The sequence below is a fragment of the Homo sapiens genome, chromosome 10 (genome assembly GCF_000001405.40).
Source record: "Homo sapiens chromosome 10, GRCh38.p14 Primary Assembly".
Lineage (NCBI taxonomy): Eukaryota > Metazoa > Chordata > Mammalia > Primates > Hominidae > Homo > Homo sapiens.
In genome coordinates, this window is record NC_000010.11 from 124,958,622 (window position 1) to 124,971,358 (window position 12,737).

The 12,737-nt window shown below is 39.5% G+C and overlaps 1 protein-coding gene across 6 annotated transcripts in view, besides 2 other annotated features; it reads left to right on the forward strand.

Annotated features, from left to right (window-relative positions):
• The window catches only part of ZRANB1 (zinc finger RANBP2-type containing 1), a 71,296-nt gene that overhangs the window by 41,728 nt on the left and 16,831 nt on the right, over window positions 1-12,737 (forward strand). For all 6 annotated transcript variants that reach the window (XR_007061968.1, XM_006717907.3, XM_047425383.1 and 3 more), the window contains one exon: window positions 7,973-8,160. Coding sequence is in view for 5 of the 6 variants with exons in the window: in XM_006717907.3 (XP_006717970.1) it covers window positions 7,973-8,160 (188 nt within the window). In the remaining variant the exon portion in view is untranslated. The remainder of the gene's footprint in view (window positions 1-7,972; window positions 8,161-12,737) is intronic.
• Window positions 11,931-12,110: an enhancer, noted in NCBI's record as "active region_4188". NCBI's record gives its function as "activates an Ori minimal core promoter by ATAC-STARR-seq in GM12878 lymphoblastoid cells {active_cell/tissue: GM12878}" and the evidence as "EXISTENCE:reporter gene assay evidence [ECO:0000049][PMID:35858748]".
• Window positions 12,201-12,300: an enhancer, noted in NCBI's record as "active region_4189". NCBI's record gives its function as "activates an Ori minimal core promoter by ATAC-STARR-seq in GM12878 lymphoblastoid cells {active_cell/tissue: GM12878}" and the evidence as "EXISTENCE:reporter gene assay evidence [ECO:0000049][PMID:35858748]".

A 12,737-nucleotide genomic window follows, 5' to 3' on the forward strand; every position in this document is an offset into this window, starting at 1 on the left:
CATGTTACCTTTTAAAAATGAATGTGTAATATGACATTGAATTGCTGCACCTTAAATTAACCTGTTCTTTATTAGCAACAGTTTGGGAGTCCCTGTGGAGCTGTCTTTGCTGATGTTTGTTGTTAAGAATGGCATGCTGTCTCATTTTATTAATCATTTGTATTTTTTTCTGTGAGTTGTTGATTCATGTCTTTTGTTCACTTTCGTTCACTTTCTTTGGTGATTTTATCAAGTTACATGAAATCTATATGAAAAATACACATCTCCAGTCCCAGTCTGGGCAACATAAAATCATTTTTGGCCTCGGCCTCCCCAAATTGCTGGGATTACAGCGGCGAGCCTTGGCACCTGGCCTCAGTTACTTTGAAAAATTGTCTTAGCTTTTACCTTTTCTTTGTTCATTCATTCATGCATTCAGGTACTCCCTGAGTGTGCTCCCAAGCACTTTGAAAGAAGTCATGTCTCTCAAAGAGTTTATAGGGCAAATAGAATTTAGCAAGCCAGGATAGCTCAGCAGAGGAAGTACAGGGTCCTAGAAGGAGCATAGAACCTAATCTCATTAGGAGATTTGGAGAGGACTTTTGGTGACATCTAAGCTGAAACTTGAAAGAGAAGAAGGAATAGTGTTTCTATTAGTGAGAATTTTATGTGTTAAAAATCCAGGGTGGAGAGACCAAGGCATGTCAAATAACCCGAGAGAAGTCAGTTGGTTGGAGTGTAGAATGAGGACTGTGAGAGAGAACCTGTAGGGAATATTGGGACTATTTAACCTGGTTAAATAGGTTAATTCCTTAACCTGGTTAAGGAATTTAGCTGTTAACCTGAGGGCAGTGGTAAACTTTTTTTTTTTTTCCCCCTGAGATGAGATCTCACTTTGTCACCCAGGCTGGGTGGAGTGCAGTGACATGATCACGGCTCACTGCAGCCTCAACCTTCTTGGGCTCAAGGGATCCTCTCACCTCAGTCTCCCAAGTAGCTGGGACTACAGGTGCATGCCAGCACGCCTGGCTTATTCTTTAAATTTTTTGTGGAGATTGGGTTTCTCCCAGGCTGGTCTTGAACTGCTGAGCTCAAGCAGTCTGCCCTCCTTGGGCTTCCAAAGTGCTCAGATTACAGGTGTGAGCCACTGCGCCCAGCCTAGTGGTCAACTTTTGAAAAGGGAATGCCGTAATTAAATTTGTAGTTTAAGAAGACCACACTCACCCTAGTGTAGAGGGAGCAACACTTGAGATGGCAGACCAGTAGAGTAAATGATAGCAACTTAGGTATAGCCAGGTATAGCTGGGGTAGAGTCAGTGGAGATGGGGAAAGGGAGATTTATTTGAAAAAGACTGAAGTAGAATTGGCAAAACTTGGAAGAATTGATACTGGGCTGAGATGAGGAGGAGTTTAGAAAGCCAGATTTTTGGTTTGGACATCTGGGTTGGCTAACAGTATCATTTTTCCTGGACATAGGAGAGGGAAAGTTTAGGTTTTTTAAGAGGTTTTGTGGTGAGGATGCCTGATGGATTATTGGATACATGGGGTCTGAAACTTTTGGGGATGGATGCTTGTGGGGCTGTGAGTGTCTACAGAAGCCATGAACTTTCTTTTTCAGTGGCAAATTATAGGAGCTTTCTTGTTTAGTGTTTCTAATTGGAGACCTTAGTAAGATTGACTGGGTTACTTTTGAACATTTCTTCCAATTTGATGATTTTCTGTCTTAATTCTGTCTACTTTTGTCTAGAAGAATTAAATGTATATAATATGAACAGTATAAAGTTATAATAAATTATGAAAGTTTTTCCTTTTATCCTTTCTTCCTTGCCCCTGCTTCGTTTTTTAAACAGAGACAGGGTCTCACTCTGTTACCCAGGTTGGAGTGCAATGGCGTGATCATAGCTCATTGCAGCCTCGAATTCCTGGGCTCAGGTGATCCTCACAAGTAGCTGGGACTACAGGCATGCGTCACTATGCCTGACTAATTTTAAAAAATTTTTGTAAAGATGAGATCTTACCATCTTGCCCAGGCTGGTCTTGAAATCCTGGGCTCTAAGCGATTCTCCTGCCTTGGCCTCCCAAAGTGCTGAGATTATAGGTGTGAACCACTGCACCCAGCCTCCCATTTCCACTTTTAAAATGTTCATTTACCCTCTAGTAAAAAAAAGGTGGGCTAGACTATTCAGTTTCTCTCGGCCTACCTGAGATATAGTGTAATTATAAAAATCTAAAATTTAGTTTCAAATTCAGCCAGGGTAACTTGGCAGTGTGGCAATTGAAATTTTTATTTTGAAGTCAGAAAAACCTTTGGATGTGATTTCAGTGGTGAATGTGGTTTTGGCATACACTATTTTATGAGTTTCAAAATCTACTTTTGGAACCTAAGAGTTTTTGTTTTGTTTTTTGTTTTTTTTTTTTAGACAGAGTTTCGCTCTTTGTTGTCCAGGCTGGAGTGCAGTGGCGCAATCTCGGCTCACTGCAACCTCCGCCACCTGGGTTCAAGCGATTCTCCTGCCTCAGCCTCCCGAGTAGCTGAGATGACAGGCGCACGCCCCCACGCCCGGCTAATTTTTTTTTGTATTTTGAGTAGAGACAGGGTTTCACCATGTTGGCCAGACTGGTCTTGAACTCCTGACCTCAGGTGTTCCACCCACCTCGGCCTCCCAAAGTGCTAGGATTACAGGCGTGAGCCACTGAGCCCAGCTGGAACCTAAGATTTTTAAGAACCGTAATTTCCTTTCAGTTGAATATTTTCAGTAATGTTTTAAGTGACTCATGATGTGAACTCATGTTCATCTGTTTCAGCCCTGTTAACATTTGTCCCCATCTCTGATCACTTGTCCCAAAGATAACTTTGTGGCATGTTTCCTTTAAGTCCTGCCATGTTGCTTTCAGCAGCAATTCTTCCTGCTTGGCAGGATCTTCTTTCTTACGAAGTTATCTGTTAGGTTAGGTATTTTTTCATGACTTTGGGGACTTATATTTTCACAAGAGTGGGTTGTTAACACTCTGATCAAAGATGTAAGGAGAAAAGAGCTCAGTAGTATAGACTATATTTGACATAGTTTGTCACAACTTACAGATAATTTAGAAAGCTTTAATTAGTGACTATTTGACTTCCTTCTCTCATTGAATCTTTTATTTTTCTAAAGAGGATGTTTTAGTAATGGACAGTGAGATTGTTGAATAGAAGCTAGTCTTGATATGTTATAGATTAAATTTAAGAATTTGTTTATAATTTTGATTTTCATCTGATTTTTTGAATAGGCTGTTGTTTTGTAGCACTGTTACTAGGAATAGAAATAGTGGATCTTAACTTGTTGCTATTATTATGTGGAAAATACAACCAGGAGGTGTTTTGGCCTGCTCAAATTATTTCTGAGATTGTTCCTGTGCTTTTGCCTACTTGAAGGTACACTTTAAAAAATATTGAAGTCATTTTATTTAAAAAACAGCTCATTAGTTTTGAAAGAGTTTGCTGTGAATATCTCCAGGTTCAGGATTAAACTATAGCCAAATGCTTATGATATAAAAAAGTATTACTGGGTGGTATAGTTTCCTTTTAATATGAAAACCGGTTAAATGAGTTAAACTCTGGCTAGAGGAAAACCACATCTGCATCTTTCTCTGACCATGGTAAAGGACATTCTGAACATTACCACTTAAAACTAACTTTTCTCTTTAAGGGTTCCTGAAATTGTGCCAGCCGACTCCAGGTCCACCCTGACCCCACAGCATAAACCATGCTGTGATGTCACAGCTACCATAGAACTCCAGGGTAGTGTTGGGCTGGCCCATGTGGGCTCAGGTAAGTCCTGGCTTTTTTTTTACCATTTGGCATTCTTTTCAAAGTTAATAACCATTATAATTTTATGTCATAAAGGAAAATAAGGCAAAACTTTGAAAACTGTGCCATATATGGGGGAAAAAATAAGTCTGTTTTCTAAATATCTATGAGCCAGCTCTAAATTCTAACCAGTGGAGTTCCATAGTAGCTGTGAAGTCCCCAGTGAGTCATTGACCTGTGGCTTCAAAATACGTAAACTGTACTCCTGGCCCAGCTTACGGAATAATATATGTTTGCTTTTTATTTTTTTTAACGGTTTAGCTAGTAATATATAATATAGTGGCTTTCATTCTTAGGCCTTCATGTTTTAAGAAGTGTATTAACACTTTATCTGTAATTATGTTTCACTATTAGGCTAATTGTGCATTTCATTCAATTTTGAATGTATGGTGATACTACAGATTAGTTTTATAAAATTAATCGTCCCAGAGTGGCTTCAGCTGTCCTTTTATTTGTCTTCATGAAGGAGAAAGGGACAGAAGGCATAATACACGTTTGTTAAATTTTCAAAAAAAGTACTAAGAGAAAGATGCTTTGGCTGGGCGTGGTGGCTCACGCCTGTAATCCCAGCACTTTGGGAGGCCGAGGTGGGTGGATCACCTGAGGTCAGGAGTTCGAGATCAACCTGATCAATATGGTGAAACCCCGTCTCTACTAAAAATACAAAAATTAGCTAGGTGTGGTGGTGTGCGCCAGTAGTCCCAGCTGCTCAGGAGGCTGAGACAGGAGAATTGCTTGAACTCGGAAGGTGGAGGTTGCAGTGAGCTAAGATCGCGTCACTGCATTCCAGCCTGGGTGACAGAGCAAGACTCTGTCTCAAAAAAAAAAAAAAAAAAAAAAAATGCTTCAGTTACTCTTGGAGGCATTGTGAGATGTCAGTAACCTAGAAAACATGTATATGTTGATTATCTTCTCTTGGAACTTTTCATTTTTTCCTGGCCTTTCTCCCATAAAGTGAGATTTTAACACTTGCATTTATTTGTCTTTCCCTGTCTACCAACTCTTCTACCTTATTCTTACGTTCTTTTTATCCCCTGACATTAAAAGGTGCTCAAAGTGTAATTATGTGAAGAACTCAGATATTGTAAGGTTTTTTTTTTTTGTTTGTTTTTTTTTTTTTTTTTTTTTTTGGGCATGTATTATGATGCTTTTTCCCTGCACTTCACTTTAAGTAGAAAACATGCGGTGGCTAAAACTTTAAATTATATGCGTATGGGCCAAATCCTGTTGAACCAACCACGTCTACAACAAAAACGTGTCTATGAAGTAATGTCTAAACTTTCAGAAGTTCTCTTTGAGCAGTGTGCAATAAAGACGTAGCAAAAATTGGGACAGTTCAGTGACATTTTCATGAAATTTGATTTGTAATTTACTAATCTTTGTAGCTGAAAATGTGCAATTCTTAATGAAAAGAATGAAATTACGTATTCCCCAAACACTAGATAATAAAATAATTTTCTTTTAGATATTATTTTTTACCTATATTTAAGTGATGTGTGTTTTTCATGCTCTGGGAAGTTTGGAGAATTTCGTGCTGTCAAAAACTGAGAATAGTCTGTTCTCCTCATCTTCTGTATGTCTGCCATGCTGGGGAATGGGCAGTATGCCCGTTTGTAGTTTAATGCAGAGCATGGAGTAGGAGGGACTAATTAAGTGTTTTTGATAATTTTGTATTAGGTCAAATAGAAATCCTAGTTGTGTTTGTGTATATCGGCTTTATTGAGACATAATTTCACATACCATGCATTTCAACATTGTAAGTTCTGGTTATATTTTTAAAAAGCACTTAATGAAAGCAGAATTGGTGATATTATTGTACATTATAGTTCCAAAGTACAGTCTGCTGATTTTGTTGTGCTATGTAGTCTGCACCCCACCCCCCAGTGCTCATTAACTTCTAATTACAGAAATCTCTCAGAGACATTAGAGAGGAAATCTTAAGAATTTCTAAGATGAGATTCTTCTAGACTTCAGCTATATGGTGAGTTAGCTAAAAACAATAAAGCGATTTGAAGATCTCCCCTTCTTCCAAGCAAAAGAAGGAAGTTATTTGGTGCTTAGCTTTAGATTACCTCATCTCTGTCTTTGAGAAATAAGAAATAAACATGAACACATATAGTACAAAACACCTACATACATGCATACACGTATATACACATAAATTGTACAGATCTTCCTCTTTGCTTTTTCAGCTAAATTGATCAGACTCTTGGGTTGTTTTTGGAAGTGTTTGGAACATTTTTTATGTAATACGAAAAAATTTGTAAGTAGATAATATTTTTAGATTAGAACTAAAGACTATAAAAGGTGCCTTGATGCTATGTATACCTGAGAATAGTCAAGGGCTTTGATAGGTCTGAAGGGAAAGGTCGTTGCCTTCATACAGAAATGCTATGAAGTGAAAGGAGATGGTGTGGGCATGGTCAGTCCTAAATAAAATAAAACTGCATTGAATTATCTTAAAAGTTATGGGCCCTACCAGACTATACTTAATTGTTCATTAAATAATTTAAGCAGAAGTTTCAGAGTTCTTTCTGTATTTGAACATAATAATTGGAAACAGAAAACTCTTCGATCATAGAGTTGTTTTTAGTTCAAGTAGCACTTTCTGGTCTATTTGAAAGGCTTGCCCCTTTGGGAAGATTTATAGCCTTTATCTCATGCCATCCTTGATTAAGCTTTAGCTTTGACTTCTCTAGGGTACACTGTTCCTCAGAAGGATGTGTAAGGTGGGTGGAGGTGGGGCATTTGTAGCTGAACTTGTATATGCATGGTGAGGAATTTATCAAGCTACATTGCTGTGAAAATAAGAATTCCTGTAAGAAGGCATTCTTAATATAATGGGTTTTCAACCTGAAGAATGTATATGTCTGTGTTCGGGGCAGGGGGTCATTTTTTTGAGGAGAGGATCGAAATTTGCAGAAAGGACTGTTTTGAATATTGGAGTCATGTTTTCACTGTCTTTGTACTTCTCATATTGCCTGGCAAGGCGTTCCTGTATATGATGAGGATTCAGTAAATGTGGGAATTATTTTGAAGCCTTGTTATCTTTACTAATGGTAGAAAATTGTTGCATTTTATCAATCTGTTATATTCTAAGGAATATGTCTGATCTAATTCCTAGTTCAAGATGGCAATTAAAATACTCTTTTAAAAGTACACTAAGAATATTTTTTTACCTAGTATTAGTGTTCTGTCCAGCAAACACATTTGTCTTGATGTAATTTAGGAAACACTTAAAAGTATTTGGTCCCATAAATAATTTTTTAAAAATTGTTTTAAACACTTTTTGTGGTAAATTGGAAGCTAATCTACTGTTTCTTTGCCCAGGCTGATACCCATACTTTACCAGACTGCTTAGTAGACAGTATTACTGTGTTTACCTAACATTAATTTGTGTTAAGATTAATAAAATGGTTCAGTGGTAATGGAATGTTCTTTATAGATTTGGCAGAAGTGATATTTCTGTTTCCCCCCTACTCTAACTGGATTGTAATGTTTTATTTTAGCGTATTTTATATGAAATCATCTGGTCCAATTTTTACGTTATTAATAATTCTTAATGGATATAAGGAAGACTTGGCTATGAGAATCTGAAATCAAAATGTTGCCAACGTTTACTTACACTGAAGATGGTTTCAGTTGCTCTAAGTTGTTTCAAAGCTAAAGAGCAGTATGGAAAGCTCAGCATTTGTTTTGATTCTGCTTTAAGAATGCAGTGTAAAGGGCAGGAGGAGCTCAACACCAGCTGGAAGCACATCCCTGTCTCCTTGGTTTCTGCAGAGTCAGGATGAACGCAGGACCGGAACCAGGGGCTCAGTGTCTCTTGTTACGTCTGGTTTCTCATACTAGATTATTGATCTTCGATCCAATTCATGCAGCCTAATAGTTCCTCTAAATCTCACCAGAGCCTGGAGCCTGCACTGATGGTAAGGTAAATGTCTAGGCAGTTCTAGTTCTGGAAGGAAAATTTTTAAAGGGAAAGGAAAAAACTTATTTTCCTTACTCTTATAGGACATTTAAATGATGCATCAGGATCCAGGAAGCACAGAGAAACACTTAAAAGATTTTGGAGTGATTGCTACGGTTTGTGTTTTTTGAAGAAAATGAGAATTAAATGCTTTTCTATCTTGATGCTTGTTTTAGGGGTTGTAGAAGGTGATTTAGCTGCCATAGAAGCATACAAGTCATCAGGAGGAGACATTGCACGTCAGCTCACCGCAGATGAAGTACGCTTGCTGAATCGTCCTTCTGCCTTTGATGTTGGCTATACTCTTGTACACTTGGCTATACGTTTTCAGAGGCAGGATATGCTAGCAATATTGCTTACAGAGGTAAGTTTGGCGTTTTGGTTAAATGTTCTTTTATATTAAAGAAACCTGTTCTTTAGTTTTCATTTTTGATTTTATAATGTTTCTCTAAGCAGCTTTAAAATGTTTTGAATTCTTTTACCCCCTTTTAAAAATAACATTAAACTTAAGAGACTTAATTTTTAAGGGTATATGCTTTCAAATATTTGAATAGTCACAACAATGTTTGACTCATCATGTTTGGTTCATACAAACCTGGGATGTATCTGTCATTCTTTAGTCATTCAATTAACAGATATTTATTGTGCATTTACTGTGTGCCATGCACTAGGCTGAGAAGGGATACAATTGTAAAGATACTGGCTCTTTCTTCATTAAATCTCCAGCAAAGTAGAGAAATGAACAGGTAATTCTGTGCAGCCTGTGCCCTGGTAGATGTAAATGCCAAGTGTTATGCCAGTACTTGAAGAGTTTTGAGGTGTCTTGTCGTCTTTCTTATAGCAGGTAATGTTTTTGCTGCAATTTGAAGAGAAAGAGTTAGGAGTTAGCCACATGAAGTGGATAAGGGAGAGAAGGGAAGTTGAGGAAAGCATTTTTACAGGGGGCAGAGATGGTGGAATTTGTGGTGAATCTAGGGACTTGCAGGTAACTAAGCATGGCTGAGATGGTGATTGGGAATGGAGAGAAGGGAAGTCTGAAAGATAAGCAGAGGCTGGATTACGAAGGATCTTCTGTGTCAAGGAATTTGAAGATTATCCCTAGGCACTGGATGGTGTTAGGTATGGGCGCAGGGGAGTGAGCAGAGCAGATTGTGTTTTGGCTGCTGCACACTGGAGAGGGGTGAGCCTGGTTAGGAGGGAGTTGCAGAGGTGCTGGCAAGAACTTCTGCCAGAAGGGCAGAAGGGTAGCCATAGAAGGGTACCCAGAAGGGTAGCCTTAGAAATGGGAAGAGGGTTAGAGGGTTGGAGAGACTGAGACAGGCCCTCAGTCTGAAGAAGTAGACTGATTGGATATGGGAAGATACAGTGTGGATGTAAGTTGATTCTTCAGTTTCTGGCTTACATAACTAGGTACATGCTACCAATGATAGAGATTGTGTATGAATTATTCAGAATGTGACTACATTATCCAGGTTTTTTTTTTCTTTCTTTTTTTTTTTAAGCTGGAGTCTCACTCTGTTGCCCAGGCTGTAGTATAGTGGCACGATCTTGGCTTACTGCAGCCTCTGCCTCCTGGGTTCAAGCGAGTCTCCTTTGTCAGCCTCCTAAGTAACTGGGATTGTAGGCACATGCCACCATGCCTGGCTAATTTTGTATTTTTAGAAAGGTGGGGTTTCACCATGTTGGCTAGGCTGGTCTTGAACTCCTGACCTCAAGTGATCTGCCCGCCTCGGCCCCCCAAAGTGCTGGGATTATAGGCATGAGCCACCGTGTCTGGCCAAGGTAACATTTTTTAATGGTAAGAGAAATAGAGTAAAAGTGCAGAGAGTCATATTAATTGTGGATTCAAATTTTGTCAGTATACATCTTTCATATATACTTTTGCATATTTGTTTATTCAAATTTGCCAATATTTGGGAACCACTGCAGGGCACTGTATGGGGATTAAAAAATTTGAAGGTTAGATGGAAACATGATTGTAGTAGCTAACCCCTGTGTCCAGTTTGGTAAGATTCCAGTGAAGCCGGGGTGGGGGGCTTGAGAGACTGAAGGCCATGATGAAAACAAAAGGGCAGGCTTATTGAGTATAAGGGAGAAGGGAACTTTTCAGATAGAGGGATCCAGGTTTTGGAACATGAGATAGAAGAATTGGAGTTTTTCTAGTGTCGAAGGCCTGGCTGCATTTGTGTTGTGGTGCCTAGTTGTGTTGTCTATTGTATATTGGAAGGGCTGTCAATGTGGAGTTGTAGTTGCTGGTGGTGACAGGAGCCAGGATAAAGAAGGTGGTTGTGAACTAGGGTGAAAGTCTTAAGGGGCTCCCCTAAAGGTAGGTAGAAGATTATTACAAGGTTTTAGAGGGGCCATTGTGAGTCATTGAGCTCCTGAGACAGTCTGAGGAGTAACAGTGGGATGATGATCGAACATCAGTATATTTATTGCAGTATCACAGATTGTCTGGAAACTTAGCAGCTAAGACAACAAATGTATGTTATCTCACAGAGTTTGTGAGGGTTAGAATCCAGGAGCTGCTTAGCTGAATAGTTTTGGCTCATGATGTCATGAGGTTGCAGTCAAGTGGTCCAGGGCTGTAGTTGTCAAAAGACTCAACTGGGGCTAGAGTATCTGTTCCTAAGCCCACTCAGGTGGCTTTTGGCAGGAGGCTTCAATACTGTGCCATGCAGGCCTGTCTACAGGGATGCTCATGATACAGCAGCTGGTTTTACCCCCAACAAGTGATCCAAGAGAGGCACAGAGTACAAGAGAGTGATCCAGTGTCTTTGAAACCTGCAGTGTCTTTTATAAATTGATTTAGGAAGCAACATACCATTACTTTTGCTGTATTCCGTGGGACGTGTAGAACAACCCTGGAACAGCGTGGGAGAGGTGGAGGGGATTTGTTCCAGGCAAAGAGCAAAATTGGTCATGGATTCAGTCTCCATGGAGTAAATACTCCAAAGGACAGAATTAAAGGGGCCAGTAGGGAGACTGGAAGTGGGGGAGTCTGGACTAAGTCTAGACTAAGGGGGTGTGTTGCAGAGAATGCTCAGCCAAGTTCTTTTGGAATGAGAACAGGAGAACATTAGAGTTGGGGATATGTATGTGGGGCAGGAATTTTCATCGGTTTCTGTGTCATGGACCATGTTGGTAGTTTCATGAAACTTATGGACTCCTTCCCAGAATACTGTTTTTAAATACAAAAAATAAGAAGTAAATGAGATTACAAAGGAAATCAGTTGTATTGAAGTAATAGCTACCAAAATACTAAACTAAATTTGTGATATATAAGAAAATACATTTTAATATAGGTAAAAAGTTGGGGATAATTGATTTAACTTGAATTAAAACCAAATTCCCATTAAAGTACATGGACCATTCCCAAGATCATGGACCCTAAGTTAAGAACTCCCAGCCTACGGAGATGGTTGAGAACCATAAGGTTGAAGGAGGTGAGAAGGTGAGTGGCAGGCTTCAGGGGCACATCCTGCTTAAGGATGGTGGTGGAAGGGGTTGTTTGGGGGCTAAGTTTCTTTTAGAATGTTTGTGGTAGTCAGGGTCCAGTCCAGGTGGTTTTTGGAAAGGTCTTTCCAGGTTTTTGGAAAGGGCCTGAGAGCTAGCTGATGGGAATAAGCTATTTTTGAATTTACTTTGGGGGAGCCATTTTAACTATGTTACTTGAGAAATAGTCAATTATATTCTGAAAATATTTAATATTTGGTTTTCCATGTTTGAGTGTTGACTAATGGTTGGGCTCATGGAGTTAAGATATAGTGAGAATTTTCATGGTTAATGGTAATCTTGGCCAATAAAGTCTAGTTGAACTGAATTTCCACGTAGGAGTTTTTAAATTTTTTATTTTTTTCTTTTCTTTTGAGACAGACTTTCTCTCTGTTGCCCAGGGGAGTGATCATGGCTCACTGCAGCCTTGACCTCCCTGGCTCAAGTGATCCTCTCACCTTTCAGCCTCCCCAGTAGCTGGGACTACTGGTGCATGCCACTAATGCCTAGCTAATATTTTGGGGTTTTTTGTAGAGGCAGAGTTTCATTATGTTGCCCAGGCTGGTCTTGAATTCCTGAGCTCAAATGATCCTCCTGCCTTGGCCTCACACAGTGCTGGGATTACAGGTGTGAGCCACTGCACCAAGCTGCAGTTTCAGAATAGGGAGTCAGGTAACTGTGCTGGGTATGCAGGGTTTTTGAAATATTATTTCTTTAATAGCAATAGCAGTTAGTTGTCTGCATATATGATGTAGATAACATTATCATTAAACCTTACTCTTTGAGAAGAAGAAGAAGGGGCTGGAAGACCTGTTGCTTCACACCCCACTGTGGCTGGAAGGCTACCTTTGGGATAATCGTCCAGGTTGGTGACATCAGGGAACAGGCTCACTGTGGGTTCCCACGGTATTCTCTTTGGGGTTTTTTTTTTTTTTTTTTTTTTTTGGCAGAGTCTCTCTCTGTCACCCTGGCTGGAGTGCAGTGGCGCGTTCTCAGCTCATTTCAACTTCCTCCTCCCGGGTTCAAGTGATTCTCATGCCTCAGCCTTCCAAATAGCTGAGACTACAGCTAATTTTTGTAGTAGTATTTTTAGTAGAGACAGGGTTTCATCATGTTGGCCAGGCTGGTCTCAAACTGCTGAGCCGAAGCAATCCACCCGCCTCGGCCTCCCAGAGTTGGTGGGATCACAGGCGTGAGCCATTGTGCCTGGCCTTGAATTCTGTTTGTTACTCGCAGATGCTCAACTGTGATTTTAGAATTCTGTGTATGTATTTTTATTTAGCTCCACAAACTAGATATGACTGAAATGTGAGGTTAAATTAAATCTTTGCAACATTTGTTGCTATTTAGCATTTTAAAAAGAATAAAAAAATAACAAAAGAAAGTTCTAGCCTTCTTTGGTTTGTTGTTTTCTTGCTTAGAGGCCTGTGCAGTAGTGCTCCCATC